This window comes from Homo sapiens, chromosome 15 (genome assembly GCF_000001405.40).
Source record: "Homo sapiens chromosome 15, GRCh38.p14 Primary Assembly".
NCBI classification, from domain to species: domain Eukaryota; kingdom Metazoa; phylum Chordata; class Mammalia; order Primates; family Hominidae; genus Homo; species Homo sapiens.
Window position 1 is genome coordinate 56,877,341 of NC_000015.10, and position 24,471 is coordinate 56,901,811.

The 24,471-nt window shown below is 40.2% G+C and overlaps 2 long non-coding RNA genes across 3 annotated transcripts in view, besides 3 other annotated features; one reads left to right on the forward strand and one right to left on the reverse strand.

Annotated features, from left to right (window-relative positions):
• Positions 1-8,829: 8,829 nt before the first annotated feature.
• The window catches only part of TCF12-DT (TCF12 divergent transcript), a 32,330-nt gene continuing 16,688 nt past the window's right edge, over positions 8,830-24,471 (reverse strand). Inside the window, exons 3-4 of the long non-coding RNA NR_015419.2 lie at positions 12,674-12,827; positions 8,830-10,584 (exon numbers count right to left, since the gene is read on the reverse strand). This is a non-coding gene — a long non-coding RNA (TCF12 divergent transcript). The remainder of the gene's footprint in view (positions 10,585-12,673; positions 12,828-24,471) is intronic.
• Positions 9,562-9,651: an enhancer, noted in NCBI's record as "active region_9457". NCBI's record gives its function as "activates an Ori minimal core promoter by ATAC-STARR-seq in GM12878 lymphoblastoid cells {active_cell/tissue: GM12878}" and the evidence as "EXISTENCE:reporter gene assay evidence [ECO:0000049][PMID:35858748]".
• LINC03065 (long intergenic non-protein coding RNA 3065) lies at positions 9,728-10,881 on the forward strand. 2 transcript variants are annotated; one of them, NR_183869.1, is made up of 2 exons: positions 9,728-9,830; positions 10,348-10,881. It is a non-coding gene; the product is annotated as a long intergenic non-protein coding RNA 3065 (long non-coding RNA). The 2 variants fall into 2 exon arrangements; NR_183870.1 differs by having other exon boundaries at positions 10,416-10,881.
• Positions 9,772-10,201: a silencer, noted in NCBI's record as "silent region_6467". NCBI's record gives its function as "represses an Ori minimal core promoter by ATAC-STARR-seq in GM12878 lymphoblastoid cells {active_cell/tissue: GM12878}" and the evidence as "EXISTENCE:reporter gene assay evidence [ECO:0000049][PMID:35858748]".
• Positions 14,511-15,070: an enhancer, noted in NCBI's record as "NANOG hESC enhancer chr15:57184049-57184608 (GRCh37/hg19 assembly coordinates)". NCBI's record gives its function as "activates a minimal SCP1, AML or CMV promoter by ChIP-STARR-seq in naive H9 embryonic stem cells {active_cell/tissue: H9 hESC(naive)}" and the evidence as "EXISTENCE:reporter gene assay evidence [ECO:0000049][PMID:30033119]".

Genomic DNA, 24,471 nt, shown 5'->3' on the forward strand with positions numbered 1-24,471 from the left:
CACTCCAGCCTAGGTGACAGAGCAAGACTCCACCTCAAAAAAAAAAAAAATTTGGTTGACTAAATTATGTAGATCTCCCAAGTGTTGACATATTTCATTGTACATCAGAAAAATCACATTTGCTGATATCACCACCACAAAAAAGTCTTAAAGTACCGGGAAGACGTTACGCCCCAGGACAGTGAATATACATTTTTCACAATTCAAATTTTTGGTTTAAAATGCAAATGTTACAAATGTTAACAAATATAGTCAGTTGTTTTCCTCATCTTACACAACCTTTTTTTTTTTTTTGAGAAAATATCTGCCAGATACTTAAGTCTAAGTAGTCATAGTTTGTCCTTGGTTACTTTAAGTAAAAATAATGTTGCATAAAAAGAAGCAACCAGTTCACTTCTCAACTCAAACAATCACACAAGTGCTTTTCTTGAGGCAATCATATTTCTGTATGCCGCAATAGTACTTCACATGTACTTCCCATTTCGTCACACAGAATATTAAAAAGACAAGTACTAATTTCAGCAATCTAGGAAGAGAAGGGAAATTCCCCAATCTCATGAAAGACTAAGCAAAACCTATTTTTAATATGATGATTAATGATGAAAGACTACATGTTTTTCTTCCTATTGCCGAAAACAAGGCAAAGATGTCTTCATTCATTGCTTTTACTCGAGAATCCAGTCAATGTAATAAGAAAAGAAAAAGAAATTTTAAAAAGGACAAGAAATAAAAGGCATGCAGATTGGACAAGAAGAAATAGGCCAGGAGTGGTGGCTCACACCTATAATCCCAGCACTTTGGGAGGCTGAGGTGCGCAGATCACGAGGTCAGGAGTTCAAGACCAGCCTGGCCAACATGGTGAAACCCCATCTCTACTAAAAATACAAAAATTGGCCAGGCATGGTGGTGGGTGCCTGTAATCCCAGCTACTCAGGAGGCTGAGGCAGGAGAATTGCTTGAACCAGGGAGGTGGAGATTGCAGTGAGCTGAGATCTCAACATTGCACTCCAGCCTGGGCAACAGAGCAAGACCCCATCTCAGAAAAAAAAAAAAGAAGAAATAAAACTGTCTTTATTCACAGGTAACATATCATGTACATTAAATCCCAGAAATATCTACATAAAAGCTGCTAGATTTAATAAATGGGTTTAGAAAGCTCATAGGATATAATGTCAATATATATAAATATATGAAACTAACAGCTAGAAACTGAAATGTAAACAACAGTACCATTTTTAATGCCACCACTGTTAGGGATAAACCCAACAAACTTGTGCAAGATATGTATGCTAAAAACAGCAATACACTGACAAGAGAATTTGAAGCAGATATAAATAGATGGAGATACATACAATGTTCAAGGTTCTAAAGATGTAATATTGTTAAGGTGGCAATTTCCACAAAACTTATCTACAGGCTAATTGCACTCTCAATCAAAACTGCAAACTATTTGTAGAAATTGACAAACTAATTGTTGAATTTATATGGAAAAGTTAAGCATCCAGAATAATCAGATGAATCTTGATTTTTTTCCCTCTTATTTTTAAAAGGCATAAAGATTTAAAACAAGAAGAGTTTGAAAAACCTTTGTTTGTTTGTTTGTTTGTTTGGAGATAAGGTCTTACTTTGTCTTCCTGGAAGGAGTGCAGTGGCACAATCATAGCTCACTATAGCCTCCACCTCCTGGGCTCAAGCAGTTCTCCCACCTTGCCTCCCAAGTGCCTGGAACTACAAGAGCATGCCACCATGCCCAGCTAATTTTAAAAATATTTTGTAGAGACAAGGTCTTGGTATGTTGCCCAGGCTGGACTCAAACTCCCAGCCTCAAGTGATCCTCCCACCCCGGCCTCCAGTAGTGCTGGGATTACAGGTGTGAGCCACCATAACCAGCAAGACATCAAATGCATAATAAGAGAACAACATTAGGCCAACAAATTCAACAATACAGATGAAAAATGCACCAAAATAGTGCATTTTTGAATGCACTAAATAGTGTACAATGCACCAAAATAGTCACAAGAAAAAAACAGAAAACCTGAGTAAGCCTATATCTAATAAACAAATGGAGTATGTTAAGAAAAACCTTTCCGAAAAGAAAACTTAAGGGCCAGATGCTTTCACTGGTAAAAACATCAAAGTTACACAAATGTTTTCCAGAAAAGAGAAGAGGGGAGAATATGTTTTTCAGAAAAGAGAGGAAGAGAAAACACCATCCACTTCATTTTATGAGGTTAATTTTTATGGACTGAATTGTGCCTCCTCAAACTTTGTATGCTGAAGTTCCAACCTTTAGTACCTCTGATTGTAATCATATTTGGAGATAAGGTCTTTATGGAGCCGATTAGGTTAAAATGAGGCTGTTAGGGTGGGGCCCTAGTTCAATATAACTAGTGTCCTTAGAAGGGGAAGGACACCAGGGGCACATATGTACACAGAGAAAAGACCACATGAGGACACAGCAAAAAGGCAGCCATCTGCACACCAAGGAGAGAGGCCTCTGGAGAAATCCAACCTGCTAAGACCTTGATCTTGGACTGCTAGTCTCCCGAACTATGAAAAAATTAATTTACATTGTTTAGACCTCCCACTCTGTGGCATTTCCTTACAGTAGCCCTACAAACTAATACAGTAACATAAGCTTAATAGCAAAACCTGACAAAGATTGTATTTACATTTTACAGATCAGTATCCTTTACTGATATAGAGGCAAAATCCTTAACAAAATACTAACAAATCAAATCAATAGAATATTAAAAGAGTAACACTTAAAGATTAAGTAGGGCTTATCTCGGGAATGAAAAGTTAGTTTAATATTTTAAAATTGATAAATGAAATTCATTATATTAACAAAAAAAGGAGAAAACCCATATGATCACTTCAATAGATATGGAAAATGCATTTCACAAAAATTCAACATTGATTCTTGATAAAAACTTTCAGCAAATCAGAAATAATAGAGAACTTCCTCAAATCAGTAAAGGGCATCTATAAAATAAGTACAATATAATTAATGATGTAAGGCTGAATTGTTTTCCCCCACAATAGGAACAAGGCAAAGATACCATGGCCACTATTCTAAAGTTCTATTTGACATTGTGTTGGAGGTCTCAGTCATTATAAGAAGGAAAGAAAAATAAATGGAAAGAAGATCAAAAGGGAACAAGTAAAACTGTCCCTGTTTGCAAATGATAAGATTTTTAATGGAAAAATCCCCGGGAATCTACAAAACAATTACTAGAATCCATAAGTGAATTTCCCAAGGTCACAGGATACTGGGTTAATATATAAAAATCTGTTTAAGGCAAATATTAAAATGTATATGCTTATATACTAACAGCAAACTACTGAAAAATTGAATTTAAGGAGCAATTCCCTTTGCAATAATACCAAAAATATAAAATAATTCTGAATAAATCTAACAAAAGATATTTACATTGAAAACACAAACCCTCACTGAAATAAAATAATATACAAATACGTTGAGATATATACCATGTTTATGGACCAAAAGATTCAATATTGTTAACATAACAATTCTCCCCAAATTGTGCCACTGGCAAAAGGATAGACATACAGATTAATCATGCAGGCAGCAAAGTCTAGAAATAGACCCATATGTATAAGTTCAATTGAGTTTTGACACATATGCCAAGGTAATTCAATGGTGAGAGGAAGAAATAGTAGCCTTTTTAATAAGTAGTGCTGGAACAACTTTAATGGACATCCCCTCCAAAATTGAAAAAAAAAATGGACTGTTTAAAACCACACCATATGTAAAAATTAACTTGAAATGGATCATAGTCCTACATGTAAAACCTAAAACTATAAAACCTATAGAAAAAGAACATGGGAGTAGATATTTGTGTCTTTGGGTTAGACAAAGGTATTCCAGAGAGGACATAAAAAGTATAAACCTAAGGAAACAAAATATTCGTGCTAATATGCCAGCAGTTTTAACCATCACTGCTTTCACACCATCAATGAAAATATCAATGAACTGAAAAAGGTAAATAAATAAAATCTGGCCGGGCGCAGTGGCTCACACCTGTAATCCCAGCACTTTGGGAGGCCAAGGCTGGCAGATCACCTGAGGTCAGGAGTTCGAGACCAGCCTGACCAATATGGTCAAACCCCATCTCTACTAAAAAAACAAAAATTAGCCGGTTGTGGTATCAGATGCCTGTAATCCCAGATAATCAGGAGGCCGAGGCAGGAAAATAGCTTGCACCTGGAAGACGGAGGTTGCAGTAAGCTGAGATGGCACCACTGCACTCCAGCCTGGGCGACAGAGCAAAACTCCGCCTCAAAAAATAAAGGAAAATAAAATAAAATATAAATATAAATACATAAATAAAATTCTAAATTATTATCCACATAATTTTTACTCATAGTCTCCCCTGAAAATTCTCACAGACCCTAAGGGGTCCATAGACCACTTTGAAAATAACTTTTTTGCAACAATTAAAAACAATGAACTGCTAACGGATGCATCATACAGGTACAACGTTAAACAAAAGAAGCCAGGCACAAAGGAGAACATATTGTGTAATTCCATTTATATAACTTTCAAGAACAGGCTACATTGCACTACGGAAGAAGTCAGAATAATGGCTACCTATGCAGGTTGGAGGAAGAAGGGAATTAACTGAGAAAGTTCATGGGGGAAAGGACTTCTGGTTCTATATTTTGATTTGGGTAATGGTTTGTGCATTTCACTGTATGAATGTCAATGTCATACTTTAATTAAAATATAAAAAGAATATAAACCCTACAGAATAGCTTCCTAATGAAACATTTCTATATTTAGAAGTATTTGATTAAGCATCTTCTAACACTTTTATGCAACAAAACCATAGGCAATGGGTCAACTTTAGGAAAGAATTCATAGCACTGAGAATCTGGAAATTCTACTTTGAAAATGATGGAGTATAACATTTATTTCGCATTTAATATTTCAATTGTTAAGTACATTTGTATTTATATGTATTTATTTCAATAGATGATTAGTTCCTTAAAGGTAGGAATGTATTTCATGTCTGTTATACTACAGAATCTGGTACACAGTAGGTGACATTGATTTATTTTCTCATTCATTCATGCAATAAAGATTTCTTTAACATTTATGTGTAAGGTGCTTGCTAGTTCCTGGGTATATAATGATGGGTCGGTGTGGGGCTCAATAAATTCCTGTTAATAACTGATTGATAATTATCAGCTACATTTCAGAAAAAGTATAACTCTCTTTTCTCCTGAATTCCGAGTACAGGGGCACTACAGATTTTAACCTTGTTGTAAAAATAACGACACAAAAACACAGAGATGAATTAACTGACTTCTTAGGGTGATGCACTTGCTCATGAGTGGGGCAAGGATTAAAATGGTTACAGCTTCTTTCCTGGACTGAGGTGCTAGGGGAATTCATTCAGATTGATTCGGGTTCATATTTCATTTAAATGCTCTCATTTCACTTCTGCTACATGCACCTTCTCTGACTTATATTTCAGGACCTGCAGTCTGAATTGGTTTACTTCCACTTCAGATGCTGTCAAGATAAATTAGACACCAAGGGTCCATGATACCATCTGAAGCAGAACTGCTATTAGTAGGAAATATATAAGCAGTTTTATATTTCAATATAGTGTAGCACTTTTTTGGAGAATGTACTTTCTACTAAAAATGAAAGTGTATGTAACAAACCTTGGTGAATTTTGAAATGTTAAAAAAAAATTCAAATTTTATTTTACTGTACATTCTCAGGCAAATGTAGTCAAAGGAAGGTAGGTAACACTAAATATTTTTATCTCCTTTCAATGCATCTACAAACCATTCTGTTGAATAAGATCTCACAGGTTCCTGACTGTGAGCAGAGATAGGGTAACAACTCGGATGATACATAAGCTTGCATCAGATACAGACTCCATTTTTGCTGTAATCATCCATCCATAGCCTCGCCTGCTCAGCTGACAAGGCATGTTATTAATAAAGCATATTGTACCACAAGTGCATTCCCCTACATGGTGTTTATCTTGTTGGAAACTGTAATCGTTTGAAACAATGGCCTCAGTGAAAAGATATGAAACGTTATGAGCTATGTAAAAATCAAAATAATTTGTACTAATAATGGTAGTTGTTTGTGAAGGATTAAAACATAGATGAATGCATAGAGTTAATGACTCGGTCTTGCTTTTAGGTTTACTTTTTATTCTAGTCCTGTGAGATAACCTTAATTTCAAGCCAAGCCTGGTGGAGAGACAAAGTTCCCCCACCAGAAATTAAACTCCACTTTGGCTTACCCACCAATGTCTCCCTAGCACATAGCACAGTACTGGGAAGACAGTCAACATGTAATATTTGTTAAATGAAAGAAATGAATAAATATGAGTATAAGAGAAAAACGGAACACCTTTCAGGTTAAAGCCAAGCCATTATCAGAGCTCCTCCAGGATGTGATTCAAAGAAATAGAGGTGGACTCAATCTCCAGGGGACAAGTACTCCCATATTGCTTCCCTTTCACCCTCTCCCAATTCAGCCAATGGGACTCCCACATTGCCGAGCCAGTGGAGAAGCCCCAGGTATAGAATCCAGGTAGGAAAAGATGAAGTATGCCCTTTCCCATCTCCCTGCACCCTCCCCAATCCCACCCAATAAGATCTGGATGTGTTCTTGCAGTTTTCAATCTGAATTCTCTTGGAACAATTTTAAAAGGGACTAGAGCTCTCCTCTGATTTTTAATAACAGAATGCCAGGTAGAACAGCCTGCATGTATTTTAGCCCCTCACCACTGTGAGGGTCTAGGAGAAAAGTAAGATCTTAGGAAGATAGACAGATGGAAGGCCAGGTCTTGAAATGGAGCTGGTTCACCTCTTTATTGAGTTAGTTAAGAAAGAGTATGGCTGGGTGTGGTGGCTCACACCTGTAATCCCAGTACTTTGGGAGGCCAAGGTGGCAGGATCACTTGAGCCCAGGATTTCAAGACCAGCCTGAGAAACATAAGGAGATCCTGTCTCTATGAATTTTTTTTTTGAGACGGAGTCTTGCTCTGTTGCCCAGGCTGGAGTGCAGTGGCGCGATCTTGGCTCACTGCAACCTCTGCCACCCAGGTTCAAGCGATTCTCTTGCCTCAGCCTCCCGAGTAGCTGGGATTACAGGTGTATGCCACCACACCCGGCTAATTTTTGGATTTTTAGTAGAGATGGGGTTTCAGCATCTTGGCCAGGCTGGTCTTGAACTCCTGACCTCGTGATCCACTCGTCTTGGCCTCCCAAAGTGCTGGGATTACAGGTGTGAGCCACTGCGCCCGGCCCCCCAAAAAAATGTTTTTTATATCAGCTGAGCGTAGTTGCTTGTGCCTATAGTCTCAGCTACTCAAGAGACTGAGATGAGTGGATCACCGGACCCCACCACATCGAAGCTGCAGTGAGCAGTGAGCCATGATCACACCACTGCTCTCTAGCCTGAGCAACAGAGCCAGACCCTTTTGCCAAAAGAAAGAAAGAGAGAAGAGAGGGGAGAGACAGAGATAGAGAAGGGAGGGAGAGGAGGGAAGGGGAGGGGAGGGAAGGGAAGGAGACGGATAAATATAGAACAATTTAGAGGTGATGAAGAAGAGTAGATACAGAAACATTCTGAGGTAGAGGAAAGGAAAAATGAAGGAACTTGTTGGGGCCTAAGCCACAGCCACTTTTTTTCTGGCAAAATTTGATGCTGTTCTGATTATATCCTTCCATGTGTTCACAAAGGGTGATTTCTCTCCCCAGCGTGAGGAGTAGATTACGATTAGTGTCATTCCTCTTACAAATAATCAGTTTAGGATTCGTGTGTGACACAATTATGCCTAGTGGGACTCAGTTCTGCTAGAAGCCTCTAAAAAGGGTTTCCCTTCCTTTATTGTGAGATGGAGGGAGGGAGGGGGAGAGACAGAGAGAGAGGGAGAGAGGGAGAAAGGGAGAGAGAGAAATAGTATTCCTATACTTTGCTACTTTGCTGGATGCCCGACTGTATTTGACATCAAGACAAGCAGACGCCATCGTATAGCCATGAAGGGACATGACAGGAGAAATTACCATCATGTGAAGATGGCAGAGCAGAAAGAAGAATCCCACTTCAATCTCGGACAACTTCCCTAAGTTATTTGACCAACCAATAGTGGAACCACCTTTCTCCAAACTTCTTATTTTATGGGATAATAAATTCCATATTTTTCAAATTTCCACCTCTAGTCAGGTTTCCTGTTGTTTGCACTTTTGTTCATACCTTTTTTTTTCTACTAAAGGAAGAAGTGAGGGCATGTGTTATGAATGTGAAATCTGGAAGTTAAAAAGTTTGAAACAGATATTTCAGTTTTCACTTATAGCCTCCTTCCATCTTCTTCCCCCTCCCCAACTCCTACTGGATTCAGACAAGGGCCAGGACACAAGGCTGAATGCAAAAGGACCCCTCCCTTCCCAAGACTTTATCTTTGTTCCTAGCTCAAGCTCAGTGTGTCTGGCTCCTTCTTCCTCAAAGATTTGTTCTGTCCCAGGAGGCTCCTCAATCGCTCCAGTCAATTGGCTTCTAGAGCCTTGCCCTATCAGTTCCACAGATACATCCACACGTCTGAACTCCAGCCACAGTTTAGACTCAAGTGGGGAGCTCCCACCGCAGCACCGTTCTGTACCTGTAACTAGCAATGGTTTGTAGCCTTTGAGCAGAAATAGGGAATGAAACTGCCGAGAATTTAGGGATGGAAACTGGCACAGGCATGGGAAACCGTTTGAGAATGCAGGAGTTAGCTGGGTTTACTAGATTATAACTCTTATGAAGACCACATAGCACACAACTCAGCATATAAATTAGTCTTAACACATATACATTGAATTTCTTTGAAATGACCAAATTGTAGGCAGATAAAATGGCTTCCTTTTACAGAATCTTCCCTTCAGAGAGTGCCTTTCAATGGCACCACCTTCCCTCCACCCAAAATAAAACCTTCAACATTTTCACCTTAAGTGAAATGTTTATAACACACTTTGAAATAGTGAGTGTGGTGAAGATAGTTCTATTCAATCTGCTACGAAGAAACAAGACACAAAGATCTGACTTGGCCACCATCCCCGAAGGCATCCGTGGCAGAACTGGGATGGTCCCTCATTCCCCAGTGGTCTCAAGCGTTTGTTCTGATGTCCCTGTATGTAATTGTTTTGATAGCAATTTTCCTGGTTCTCTCTCACTAGCTTGCTAACTACGCATGTCAATCACATTCAGGAACACCATGGGCCTAAGGGTCAGCCACATCTCAGGAGAATGTGATTCAAAAGAGGACACAAGGCATAATATAGCACTTTCTCCTTCTAGCATGTATGTCAGTTGCGTTGCGGCCTCGAAAGTCTGACAATGTGTAAAGAGAGTGTTGCATTTTTTTTCCTTCCCCCAGATGCAGAAAGGAAAGGATTTATGAAGTACTCTGACCACAATTTTAAAGCAAGTGAGAAACCCAACAGTGTAAGATCCTCTTACTAGAGAACACTCAATGGTACTGAAAGAGTTCTCCACCTAAACTCTAAAGAACCCGAAGAGAGGTCCAGTTTTTTCCTCCCAAAGATCCATCTCCAGAGCTTCACTCCCTAGTCCGTTAGGGAAGCCGGGACGGTGGGAGAGCCACAGATACTCTTTCTCCTACGGAACCCTTGGACCTCTTGCCCCGTTTCCCTGTCACTTTAGGGAGCAGCACGCAGGAGACTAGAGGCCAGGGTCCAAGCCCGCAGCCGTAGCAGGCCGGACGAAGAAAGCGGGCCGGAAGGGCAGCGTCGCGGTGCTGGAGGCTGTTGCTGGGAGGCGTGGATTCTGGAAAGTGCGTGTGCGCGTCCCTGGAGCACCGCCCGCGGAGCCGATTGGCCCGGACGCGCGGCGGGGGAAGCCCTTGGCTAATCTCCTGCCACTCAGCCCGGCTGACGTCGGCGCCCGGGATGCAGCGCCGCGAACCTCTCGCCCCGCCGGGCCGGGCCGCGCGCGGAAGGACAAATAGTTCCGGCGGCAGTGCCGCGCACCTCTACGCGGCTCTGCTCGCCCCGCCCGGGCTGCCGAGCCCGAGGCAGGGGTGGCGGGAAGTGGGGGCGGGCGGAGCAGGGCCGGCCTGTGCGGCTCTCGGACCCCGGCTCCGCTCTTTGCGGCCAGACGGGTGGATTGCGCTCCCTAGGGAAGAGTAATTGGATTCCAGGCTCCCTCCAGCCGGGATCAGCGGAAGTCGGCTGCTAAGCCTGCAGCCTGGGAGGGGCGTGTGGGGAGGAAGGAAAGGTGGGGAGCGCCGCCGGGAGGGACACGGTGAAACCACTGTCCTCTTAAGTGCCTGCGTGCTTGTTTCTGTACAGGCCGCATCGGGAAGCTGGGTATAGAGAAGGATTAACAGAGATTGCACCCTGGTGACCTTTCCCCTCAGGCACGTGACTCTTGCCCCTTCCAAGTTGTCATCCTCATTGTGAAATTCACCTGGTAGCTGATACTCAGGAGAGGAATACTTTGGAAGCCTGAGTCTTCTAGCCATCACCCTTCTGTTTTTCTCTCAAAGCTCCACTTGGAGCTCAGCTGGAGAAGGAACCCTGTGAAGTCTGGAATTGGACATGTCTCTTATTAACGAAGTAATTGTGGAGAAAACAGCATTCTTACCACTATCATCCAGGAAAGTATCCCAAGTCCCTTCCTTGGCAGTAGCAAACTTCCCTTAATTCCCTTCCCCTTGAGGAGATGCAGCCAGAATGAGAGCCTTAAGCAGAGTTTTTGGGTGAAATGATAGGCATGTTCTAGGAATTGTGACTTAAACTTGGACCTCTTGTGATTTTTTTTCTTTTCATCTTAATTACTGCATTTCACTCATTCATCATGAAATAAACTCTTACTGAAGGCTTTGTTTGTTCCAGGCTCTGTTCTACTTATCAGACATACGTCAGTGAGTAAAACGAATGCACTCATGGAACCTCATTACAGTTGCTCTAGTGGGGGAGATAGTACATTTACAATCATATACAATTGTATAATGTCATGTAGGGAAGAGCGCTATGAAGAAAAAGAGCAGAAGGACGAAGTATGCAGATGAGAGTTGAACATTATTTTATATTTTAGATAAGTTGATTGAAGAAGGCCTCTTTGAGGAAGTTATGTTTAAACAGAGGTCTAGATAAATGAGGTAGAAAGCCAAGCAAATATTGGGGTTGGGGGGGTTGGGGAGAAGATTCTGGGCAGAAGTAAGAGCAAGTGCCAAGGCTCTGCAGCCAGAGACAGTTTGGTGAGTCTGAATTAGTAGAAAGGAGGCCAATGTGAATGCTGTGCAGTAAGCCAGAAAAACAGTTAGAAATAAGGCTGGAGATGGGGTGATGAGTATGTGCATGCTTGGCATTTACTTTTAACATAATTTGAAACTTCTCTAAGTTTTGTATGCACTAAAGTGTCCTGCATTCTTCCTGTGTCTCCACCAGACACTACATTTCATTTCATTCAGAGACACCACTTTTTTTCCTCTTGGTCTAGCAGTAAGTGTTTATTTCTGTTTTTCTCTCACCCTCTTCTACTGATCTATAACTATTGGTTCAAATGTTTCTTCTGTGCAGATCCTTATCTTTAATGTCACCTTTTTTTCCCCCAACTTGTATATTTGCCTCTTTATCTCATCAACGTATCTAACTGGACGTCCTGCCATCTTTAGGTTTCGACAGGTCTAAAACCAATCTCATAATCTCATTATCTTTCCAAAATCACTTCCCTTCTTTCTCATTGATACCACTGCTATCTCTGCCACCCAAGCTGAAAACACCGATGTCATTTTTTACCTGTTCCTTCCCTTTATTTCTTTTATCCAGTCATCTCAGGGCCTTCAATTTATCCTTTAAAATACCTCCTCTGTCAGATCCCTTCCTCTGTCTCTACTTCAGGTTCTCTGTCTAAGCCCTTAAATGCAGCCAGCTAGGCTTAGTTCAGCAGTTTCTATGTGGCCTTTCTGACTTCCTTCTCGCTCTGCTCCAATCTAACTTGCCAGAATAATGGTTCTGAATCTTCACTCTTAGCACATTTCTTTGTGCTTCAGCACCTTTATGGCTACATTTTCTATTTCCTTAAATTTAAACTCTTGTGACTGAATCTCTTTTTCTTTTTTTTGAGACAGGTTCTCATTCTGTCGCCTAGGTGCCCAGGCTGGAGTGCAATGGAGCGATCACAGCTCACTGCAGCCTCTACCTCTCAGTGTTCAAGTGAACCTCCCACCTCAGCCTCCCGAGTAACTGGGACTACAGGCATGTGCCACCACAACTGGCAATTTTTTTATTTTTATTTTTTGTAGAGACAGGTTTTTGCCATGTTGCCCAGGCTGGTCTTGAACTCCTGGGCTCAAGTGATCCACCTGCCCCGGCTTCTCAGAGTGCTGGGATTACATGCGTGAGCCACTGTGCCTAGCCCTGACTGAATTTCAAGCTCTTGCCCCAGCCTAGTTCTCTTCTACTCTGTGAACCACTCCTCAGTCTACCACTTCCATTTTAGTTAGGTTTGCCCCAGAAGTACATTTATATTCACTCATTCCTATATGTATTTGTTTATGGATCTATCCTCAAATAATTTAGTATTTGATTCAGTAAGGATCCATTGGTTACAAGTGACATAAAATCCAACCCAAATTGGTGTAAAGTGAGAAGGGAATGTATTCTCACATACCTGAAAAGTTGAAGATAGTTCTGTTAGATATGGCTTGGCTGAAGAGTTCCAATTATATCATCAAGATTCAGATTCTCCACTTGAACCTGCACAGAGGTTGCAGTGAGCTTGAGATTGCACCATTGCACTCCAGCCTGGGTGACAGAGCAAGATTCTGTCTCAAAAAAAAAAAAAAAAGAGAGTCAGATTCTCCCCCACATGTTAGCGCTCTCCTCTGCTGTTTGCTTCATTCATTCCACAAATGAGCAACCAGAAGCTCCAGACCATCCTCACTACTAGCAAAGGTCAAGCGCCCATTCTTTTGTCAGCCAATCACTGTAGCCAAAAGAATGAGATGCTCAGATTGGCCTGGACTGATTCACAAGCCCATCCCAGGAGTTGTGTCTATCAGTAACATATGAATGGCACAGATGATTTTTACTTAAAATAGGGGTATGGTTATCAGAAGAAGCACAGATGTGCCCTGGGTAATGGAAACAGCAGACACAAACACATCCCTGGTATTTTATTGAGGTCTCCAAACATTCTTCCCCTACATATGCCTTCAATGATATCTATGGCTACTCAATGTAACAATGTTTTTTTACCACCCAAAATGTACTCACATCTAGGTCCTACAAATAACTCCAAGTCCAGGATAGTAAGGTGATATGCATGCCTCTATATCATAAAGCAATTTGATAAAGTTCTTCATGGCCTAGTAACCTAAGGCTGTATGATAAAATTAACTAGAAAATACTTAATATATAATGACAGAAAAAAAGAACAACTGCAATGAAAATGCATATTTGGAAATATGAATAATGACAAACACAAAATGTCTCTAATTCATAGCATATGTCATATCTTGCTAGACAGGAATAGCAAGGGCTTCCTAACATGAGAGGGGAGAAAGTTCTTTGATCAACCAATCTGGCTGCCATATGTTCTATTTCTGGAGGACCTCTCATTCATTGTTCCTCCATGGCTATGTCTGTAATGGACAATGGGAGGATAATCCTTTAGGGACTACACCTCTTCAGCATTCTCCTTCCTGATCTAGTGGGAATTGAAAAATCACTTCCTATGGCAAAGATAATTAGCTTTTACCACCCAAGAGTTGTGAACCTCTTCTGTTGTATACAATTGTTGCTGGGAAGTAGCTACCTAGCCAGGGGCTACATTTCCCAGCCTCCTTGTTAACTTTGGTAAAGTCACATGACTGTCTCCATTGGAATATGAGTGAAAGTGATGTGTACCACTTCTAGCCAATTTGGTTAAGTAGTAGGTATGCCTTTGCCAGTCTCTTTTTCCCTCTTCTGGCTGCACTGAAAGGTCTCTAAGAACCTGGAGGACATTAGAGCCATAAGATAGAAGGAGTCTGGGTAGTTGAATGATTTTGTAGAAGACCACCTGCTACTTAGGGGCACTGATGTTAGACTTTACAAAAGTGAAAAATAAATATCTATTGTGTTAAGCTTAAGTAACCTAGCCTTTCTTCTCCACACTTAGGATTTCTCTCACAGTACAATTTTCTTTAATTCTTTTTTTTTTTTTTTTTTTTTTTTGAGACAAAGTCTTGTTCTTGTTGCCCAGGCTGGAGTGCAGTGGTGCTATCTCAGTTCATGCAATGTCCACCTCTCGGGTTCAAGCAATTCTCCCACCTCAGCCTCCTGAGTAGCTGGGATTTCAGGTGTGTGCCACCACACCTGGCTAATTTTTGCATTTTTAGTAGAGACAGGGTTTCACCATGTTGGCCAGGCTGGTCTTGAACTCCTGACCTCGGGTGATCCGCCTGCCTCGGCCTCCCAAAGTGCTAGGATTAGAGGCATGAGCCACTGTGCCTCGCCCAGTTTTCTTTAATTCTTAGTAAACTTCTAGTCTATTTGCATCTGGCCAATTCCATAGGGGGAGAATTCCAAAGCCAGAGGGTTTTTTTTAAGCTTCAGTCTTTGAATCTAGATTTTCATCTGAGCATTTTTGTCTTTTAGTAATAGGCCTTGGTATTCTAACTTAGAGGCCTCTATTTTGGTTTCTGCCTGATAACAATTTGAAACAATAGCCACTGGGTTTGCAAGGGGAGGGAGTGATGATGGTGTGTGAGCTGGTGGTGGAGGGAGTAGAGTGGAATAACTATTACCTTTCTCAGCAGGCAGGAATTGCTTGAAAGAGGCCTGAGTGTATTAAGACTTCTCCCTAGTGCCAATGTTATCCATTCTTGCCTTCATTAACATTAACATCCTCTTGGGGCTTTTTCAACCCTTTATGGCTCCAGATTATTGATGTTTCTGTCATCTTTTATTGCAGCCTATAAGCAAAAATGTTCACTTGTAACAAAGTGGTATCTTTTCCTCTCTGCCTTAGATAAATCAATCTTAGTCCTAAGTTTGAGCCTTTCTTAAAGGACATTACTAAAAACTAACAAGTAATAGTTGATATATTTTAGTATCCGACCTTTTAACAACAGGCCCTTTTACATTTTATCCTTGATAGGCACATGTTCTGAATCCCACTATACAACAGGTGCCAGTTTAACCTACTGCTTTGGTATCGAAGTCCCAGCCTGATACCAATGAGGCCTCATCTGAATCAGCTACTTCAACATTTCTGGATCTTTCTGTTACTAATCCCCATTCCTGGTATCAATTTATGAATTGTTAGAGCTATTTTAGTGAAAAACTAGTTATATATTTAGCTTAAGGCATAGTTTGATCCAAGGGCTTAAGCAATGTCATTAGAATTCTATTTCTTTTCATCTCTTGACTCTGTCTTGTGTGCTGGCTTCATTTTTAGGCTCCATGTGGTGGCTGCTGACAGCTCCAGTTTACATAATCCTTACTGTTAGCAATCTCAGTGGAAGAGTGCATGCTTCCTTCCCACAGGTGCCAGCAATAGTCTTCTTACATTTCACTGGCTCTGATTGGGATATGTGGCTAGAGGAATCCAGTAGCTCAGGTCTGATTCATGTCATTAATGTTTTTGAAAATGAAGTTCACTCCACCCAAAAGACATTGACTGAAGTAACAGAAGAGGAAAATCAGGGGATGGTTACCAGAAGAAGGGTGAATGTTAGTAAGAGGCAAACAAACGGAGTATCTCATTAGATGACAATGTGTAGTGTTTCCTAATTGCTTCACATGTGTTGGTTTTATCTCCTTCACTGGGCTGACTGTAAGTGTCTCAAGAGCAAGATCATGTATTATATGTCTTAACAGTGCCACCTCAGCAGGCGGTCCTTAGATACTGGCTGATTTATGGCCTCTTCTTTTATTACTAAAGATGGCACACTCTAAGAAGGTAACAAGAGCTTAATAAAGGGATAATTTATAGAGGGATGGGAATGGTTAAGGGAACCAACAAGGAATGGTAAAGTACTTAAGGACTGGCAACAATGGGAGACCTTAAGCTTGAAGGAACAGGGGAGGGGAGCTATTAGTGGAACCCTGTAAGAGCTGTAGCTTGGAAAGGGATGCCTGACAAAGGCTGTTACTATAAATAAAGAAATACAGTCACTGCCAAAATGTGGCCCAGCAAAGGACCGGGGAATAAACACTTGTCCTCTTTTCCTCCCATCCTCCAAACTTCTGTTGGTACCTCCCATTGACCAAACCAGAAACCAGAGGGCTTGTGTGGCACAGTCTGTAGAGTTCAGCTGCCAGTAAAAAGCAAGACAAATAGGGTAAAAAATGGATCTGTAGGTGCAAATGGAAAATTGCCAGGACACCCCTCTTATATTCCTTGAGCAACCCTAAGTACAAGCAATTCCTATTCTGTAAGTATTAACCATATAGACTGGATTTATCTGGAAAATATAACTTTACCCTTTTCAACAGACTTGTTAAATATATAGCCAATGTGGTTTGATTTTAATAGCATTTTAAGACTTTAACATTCATGAATTCATAAAAAGTCTTTTGTTAGCCCATGTAGTTGAAAAGGTGTCGTCATTGTATTGATATGGAACTCCTCAAGAATATTGTACCTGGCAATCCATCAGAAAGTCCTGGCACAGCACTCGTCAGAGTGACAAATTTGATAAATATTTGATGATTTGAAGAATGATTAAATGAATAAATTAAAGCATTTCAAGCCAGAAGACTGTAAGTGGAAAACTAGATGGGTTTTCCTTGTTAGAGGTTGATAATAACTATACAACATCTACCAATCCTGTCCCGTAAAGCCTGACCATCAGCTTCCTAGCTGTTGATCAAGATCTTATCTCTTACAGAAAATAGAACCAAATAAATTTTGTCAATCTTCAGAAGTTTCATAATTAATTGTCATGCTAATAAATTCACTATAAAGTCAATTTCAGTTAAGGGACTATTATATTTCCTATCTAAAACTCGGTTTCCTCATGGAATTGTCACTCAGATGTAAGAAAAATAAATATACTTGCTTCGATATGTAAACTAGGACTATAAGTGCCAGTCCAAACTTTCTCTAAAAGATTTTATAGTTAAGCCCAAAATCTATACCGCTGTTCTTTCACAATCCTGTGTATATAGGACTTAAAGTCCTATACTTAAAGTCCTGTGTATGTAAGACTTAAGTTTACAAAATACTTTCTTATGTGGCACCATTCATTTATTCAAACAAAAAATACTACTGAGCACATGCTATGTGCCACACGTAATCCCTGCCCTCAAAGAACTTACAATAGAATAGTACTTCTTAAACTTTTATGAGACTGTGAATCACCTGAGAATCTTGTGAAACTACAGATTCTAATTCGCTAAGTCTGGGATGGGCCCTGAGACTACATTTCTAACCAGCTCCCTGGTGATGCTGATACCACTTGGAGTAGCAAAAGTCTAATGGATTTATTTAATCTTCACCACAACCACATCATAGGAAAAGTATCAGTGTTTTGTTTCTTATCTGGAGCACTTAACTATATACAAACACTGTGCTATGTCTTTTGTAGATAAACAATTCAGTTAGATATAGAGATATAGGCTTTTAGGAAACTCACTATACAGATGCTTCTCCACTTATGACGGGATTATATTCCAATAAACCCATTTTAAGTTGAAAATATTGTAAATCAAAAATGCATTTAATACAGCTACTGAATGTGATAGCTTAGCCTAGCCTACCTTAAACATCCTCAGAACACTTATACTAGCCTACAGTTGGGCAAAGTTGTCTAACACAAAGTCTATTTTATAATAAAGTGCTAAGTATCTTGTGTAATTTATTGAATACTGTACTGAAAGTGAAAAATAGAATGGTTGTATGGGTACTCAACAGTAAAATTTCTACTGAACGTAAATCACTTTTGCACCATCATAAAGTCAAAAAAAATCCTAAGTGGAACCATTGTCAGTCAGGGACTGTCTGTATAGCAGAAACAGCTAGTGTAAAAAATAGTTATAATTGTATTATTCTGTTTATATAAGATGTCCAGAAAGGGAAAATGTATAGAGACAGAAGGCAGATTGGTGTTTGCTGGGCTAGGGGTGAGAATGGTGATTAACTATAAATGATCATGAAGGATCTTTTGGGGGTGATGAAAATGCTTTTAAATTGGATTATAATAATAGCTGCACACCTCAATAAATTTACTAAAAGTAATTGAAATGTACACTTGAGTGAATTTTATTATATGTAAATTATACTTCAAAAAAGTTGTAAAATAATCATGTATAATGTGAAAAAATCCAATAATAAAAACATGTCTTAACTCCCTTTCACAGCCAAGGAAATGGAGCTCATAGAGGCTAAGTAATTTGCCCAAACTCATGTACATAACTAGTTGGTGACAGGGTTAGCATATAAATCTAGTCCTATTAAGCCAAAAGCAGTCGTTGTCAGAAACCTCTCCAGAGGAGGCATAGAAATGTATGCCAGGGAATAGATACCCTTCCACCTAGAGGGCATTTGCCTCTCTCTCTGAACCCTCTTCACTCTGTGAGGCAAAGATCAAGCTGAGTGGTGACCTAGGTGGCATTCCATAAACATAGTGCATCTGACGGGGCTGTGCAAGCCATCTAGCTTCTGGCAGACCCTTTGGCTTCAATGGGGTTTTTAGTTTCAAGCAACAAAAATCAATCCTGCATGATTTAGCGGCAAAGGAATTGGGTAGCCCACAGAATCATTATGTGAGTTGAGAACCAAGCTCAAAGTGGTGCAGCCAAGACCAATGCCCAAAATAATGCTGCAGAGGCAACCCAGTGAGAAGATTACTATTACTAATGCTGCTGAGCATGCTAGACTCTGCTCCTTTCTTGACCAACACCACTGCTTTGGGAACTCAATTTGGCCACAACTGCACTGTTGCAAGAGAAAGAGAACTGACTGCTATCCTTGCTTCTTTGGGTTATTAGTTTCTGACTCAAAGCCATGCAGGTGCTTCTAATTAGAGGAGGGTAGCTCAAGCACCTGAATCCAAGTTGCAAGGGGGGATGGTGAAGTGACTATGTGATGACTTCTATCAGTTTCTAGAAAGTGAGAATCAGGCTTTACTTCTAAGACTCACATACCAGTGAATTCTCCAAGCTTAGACAGTTCAGATGCTGGGCAGCTGGGAAAACAAAACAAAAACAAAAATTCCCCCCAAAACAGATATCCACTGCGTCATTGCAGAGTGGTCCATGGAGCAGCAGCATCAATATCAAATGGAAGCTTTTTAGAAATGCAGAATCTCAGACCGGGCGTGGTGGCTCACGCTTGTAATCCCAGCACTTTGGGAGGCCGAGGCAGGCAGATCACGAGGTCAGGAGATCGATACCATCCTGGCTAACACTGTGAAACCCCGTCTCTACTAAAAAATACAAAAAATTAGCTGGGCGTGGTGGCGGGCGCCTGTAGTCCCAGCTACTCGGGAGGCTGAGGCAGGAGAATGACCTGAACCCGGGAGGCGGAGCTTGCAGTGAGCCAAGATAGCGCCACTGCACTCCAGCCTGGGCAACAGAGTGAGACTCCATTTCAAAAAAAAAAAAATTAAAAAAATTAAAAAGAAAAAAGAAATGCAGAATCTCAGATCCTGTTCCAGATCTGCAGAATTTGGATTTGCTTTTGATATGGTTTGGTTGTGTCCCCACCCAAATCTCATCTTGAATTGTAGCTCCCATAATCCCCACATATCACATATCACACGTACCCAGTGGGAGGTAATTGAGTCATGGGGCAGGTTTTTCCTGTGCTGTTCTTGTGATAGTAAATAAGTCTCATGAGATCTAATGGTTTTATAAAGGGCAGTTCCCTTGCACACGCTCTCTTGCCTGCCACCGCGTAAGACATGTCTTTACTTCTCCTTTGCCTTCTGCCATGATTGTGAGGCCTCCTCAGCCACGTGGAACTGTGAGACCATTAAACCTCTTTTTCTTTATAAATTACCCAGTCTCAGGTATGTCTTTATTAGTGGTGTGAGAATGGACTAATACAGCTTTCTAACAAGCAGTCAGGTGATTTGTGTAAATATTACAGTTTGAGAAGTGTTACTCTATATTATAAGACATATTGTTTTAAAAAAAATTTTCAAGGATCACTCATCATTATGCTCTACTCATCCGTAGGGTTACTAGATTTAATGCAGGACATGGCACTCAGTTAAATTTGAATTTTAGATAAGCAAGGAATAATTTTTAAAATAAGCATGTTCCATACAATATTTGTTATACTAAAAAATTATTCCTTGTTTATCTGAAATTCAAATTTAACTGGGCATCCTGTATTTTATCCAGTAACCATCCTTACAACCATCCACACAACCCTCACCTTATAATTAAGAAAAATGAAATAAAAGAATGGGAAATTAACATAACTGCCTACTGAAATGCATTTATATCAGTTTTCTGTTTTGGCATGGTAGACTGTAAGTGTCTTGAGAGCAGAACATGGAAACTGCACAAATCCAAACACACTCTGCATTCTGCTTAAGCATTTGATGCTTGAGGTCCTCTATAATTTGAAGGGTGAATGTTAACTGTTCTGTCAGGTAGGAGTTATTTTTTTAATATAGCTATGAATTTTAACTAATTTCACTTAATGAGTTTTGACCAATAACACCTTTATCTCACCGAACCTGACCATATAAACTGAGTAAATAAAGAAAGTATGTGATGACTGGGTTATATCATTGCTGGGTTACTTCTGGAGACTGCTATTATAACTTCATTTTCTTCCTAAAGAAAAGAGTTGGTCAAAAGCAAAACTTGACAAATGGGATCTAATTAAACTAAAGAGCTCCTGTACAGGAAAAGAAACTATCATCAGAGTGAACAGACAACCTGCAGAATGGGAGAACATTTTTGCAATCTATCCACCTGACAAAGGTCTAATATCCAAAATTTACAAGGAACTTAAATTTACAAGAAAAAAACCCAAACAACCCCATTAAAAAGTGGGTAAAGGACATGAATAGACACTTCTCAAAAGCAGATATTTATGTGGCCAAGTAACATATGAAGAAAAGCTGAACATCACTAATCATTAGAGAAATGCAAATCAAAACTACAGTGAAATACTGTCTCACGCCAGTTATAATGCTGATTATTAAAAAGTCAAGAAACAACAGATGCTGGTGAGGCTGTGGAGAAATAGGAACACTTTTACACTGTTGGTAGGAATGTAAATTAGTTCAACCATTGTGGAAGACAATGTGGTGATTCCTCAGAGACCTAGAACCAGAAATATCATTTGACCCAGCAATCCCATTACTGGGTATATACCCAAAGGAATATAAATCATTCTATTATAAACATACACGCATGTGTATGTTCACTGTAGCACTATTCACAATAGCAAAGACATGGGATCGACCCAAATGCTCATCAATGATAGACTAGATAAAGAAAATGTGCTATATATATACCATGGTATACTATACAGCCACAAAAAGGAATGGGATCATGTTCTTTGCAGGAACATGGATAGAGCTGGAAGCCATTATCCTCAGCAAACTAATGCAGGAATAGAAAACCAAACATAGTATGTTCTCACTTATAAGTGGGAGGTGAATAATGAGAACACATGGACAGAGGGAGGGGAACAACACGACTGGGGCCAGTCGGGGGTAGGGGAGCGGGGGGAGGGAGAGCCTCAGGATAAACAGCTAATGCATGTGGGGCTTAATCCCTAGGTGATGGGTTGATAGATGCAGAAAACCATCATGGCACAAGTTTGCCTATGTATCAAACATGCCTATGCATGTCCTGTACATGTATCCCAGAACCTAAAATAAAATTAAACTTAAAAAAAAGAAAAGAGTTGCTGCCTATGCCCAAGAATTTTAGAAAAATAGCTTTCAAACATTCTGGGAAAGAGGCAGATTGTATATGTCAATCAGAATTAGAAGTATCACATTCAGAAATCAAAGAAAACTTTTAGTACTTTAAAATGTAGCCAGGTGCAGTGGCTCATGCCTGTAATCCTAACACTTCGGGAGGCTGAGGTGGGCCAATCGCTCAAGCTCAGGAGACCAGCCTGGACAACATGGTGAAACCCTGTCTCTACAAATAATACAAACAAATTAGCCAGGCGTGGTGATGTGTGCCTACAGTCCCAGCTACTTGGGGGGCTGGGGCAGGACCATCACTTGAGCCCAGGAGGTGGAGGCTGCAGTGAGCCGAGATCATGCCACTGCACTCCGGCCTAGACAACAGAGTGAGAATGTCTCCAAAGTAAAATAAAATAAATGTATGCCAATTGCATGTATTTGTAAGACGGCTTAATTCATTTTAACATTTAGCAAGTCCAGTTATTTCCAACCGGCCAATAGGCAATTTTGGGTAGTTGAGAGACATTGACTTTCCTTTTATAACCTGTTGTGTAGTTATCAGTGAGCCACCTCCAATAGAGTTTACCAATAAAAATTTTCCATCTATCATACTCCCACCAAGGCTTATCTTATCCTGTTGGTGAGCAATGAAATGTCCAGGGACTGTGAGAGGGATTACAGTTCTAAGAAGCAGAATATTCTCTGGGACTAATGGGTGTTGGAAACCTAAACATGTATTTGCCCCCCTCTCCCAGAGTTTTTATATCACATTTGCTTCCACTTTTTAATTCATTGTTTGCAAGCCCCACCCTAGAGGTAGATATCTGTGATGACTGAATGATGTACCCTGGCCTATAGGCCAGACCACAAACAAGCTAGTTAACTAGTCTTACTTTTTTTTTTTTTTTTGAGATAGAGTCTCACTCTGTTAACCAGGCTGGAGTGCAGTGGCATGATCTCAGCTCACTGCATCCTCCGCCTCCCAGGTTCAAGCCTCCCAAGTAGCAGGATTACAGGCACGCAGCACCACACCCATCTAATTTTTGTGTTTTTAGTAGAGATGGGGTTTCACCATGTTGGCCAGGGTGGTCTCGAACTCCTGACCTCAAGTGATCCACCCGCCTCGGCCTCCCCAAGTGCTGGGATTACAGGCGTGAGCCACCACGCCCGGCTAGCCTTTCTTTAAACATTAAATAATAATAGAGAAAACATTTATGAGTACATTTTCAGTCACCTACGCACACTATTTCTATAAAACAGCTAAGTATAGCTATGTGTTACTTAACGATAGTATAAGTTCTGAGAAATGCATTATTAGGTGATTTTATCACTGTGCAATCATCATAGAGTGCACTTACACAAACCTAGATGGTATAGCCTACTACACACCTAGGGTATGTGTTATAGCCTATTACTCCTAGGCTATAAACCTGTATAGTATGTTACTATACTGAATACTATATGCAGCTGGAATATAATGGTAATTATTTGTGTATCTAAACATAGAAAAGGTAATGCATTGTGCAAAGACATTAGAACAGTTACATCACTAGATGATAGAAAATTGTCAGCTCCATTATCATCTTATGGGACTACCATCATATATGCAACCCACCATTGACCAAAATGTCACTATGTGGTGCATCACTGTATTTATAGTAGAGAACCATTAGAAATTATATAAAGCCCCTTCCCCCGAACAGTGGACTTATTAAATAAATAATAGTATAGGCTTACGATGCAGCCATTAAAAATAACATTTTTGGCTGGGCATGGTGGCTCACACCTGTAATCCCAGCCCTTTGGGAGGCCGAAGTGGGAGGATAACTTGAGCCTAGCAAGTTGAAGCTGCAGTGAGCCATGATGGCACGACTGCACTCCAGCCTGGGGGACAGAGTGAGACCCTGTCTCAAAAACAAACAAACAAAATAAACTTTTGCTGGGTTCCCTGTCACATCAGAAGGTAAGTATAAAAGACTTCTAAGTCATGTCAAAAGAGACTCAGGAATAAACCTGAAGATGCTTCCATCGATCAAAGAGGTGAGGAAGAGCTTGAGCATGAATTCCATCCGTAATGGATAGATGCATGGTAAATATGTTTTAGTCAGCTCAGATTGATACTCTAAGACAAAAAAACCTCTGTTGGTACCTTTGGAAGATACAAGGAAACCAACTTATTATTTAAAAAACTGGTAAATACAGAGAATGAATCAAGCATCTAGTTCATTTCTCATATATAAATTGTACCTCAGGGTAACCCAATAGTTGATGATAGGAGGTTTCTCTTTACAGAATATTTCAGCTAATAATTGATGTAGAAATGATAGAGTGTCATCATATTGTAACCCCTAGTGAAATAATGCAGCTAGGGAATGATCATTAATGATGACTAACTTTACAAAAAGATTAACAAGCAGACATATGTCTCCTACATTATCACATATCAAATATTCTTGCCAAAAATCAAACTAGAATTTGATCAAGCCTATATACCTAAATAATAACAAAATACAGAAGATAAAGAAACATATTAAATAACACTAAAGGAGTTACAATTAGAAAATTTACACTATAGGCCAGTCGTGATGGCTTACAC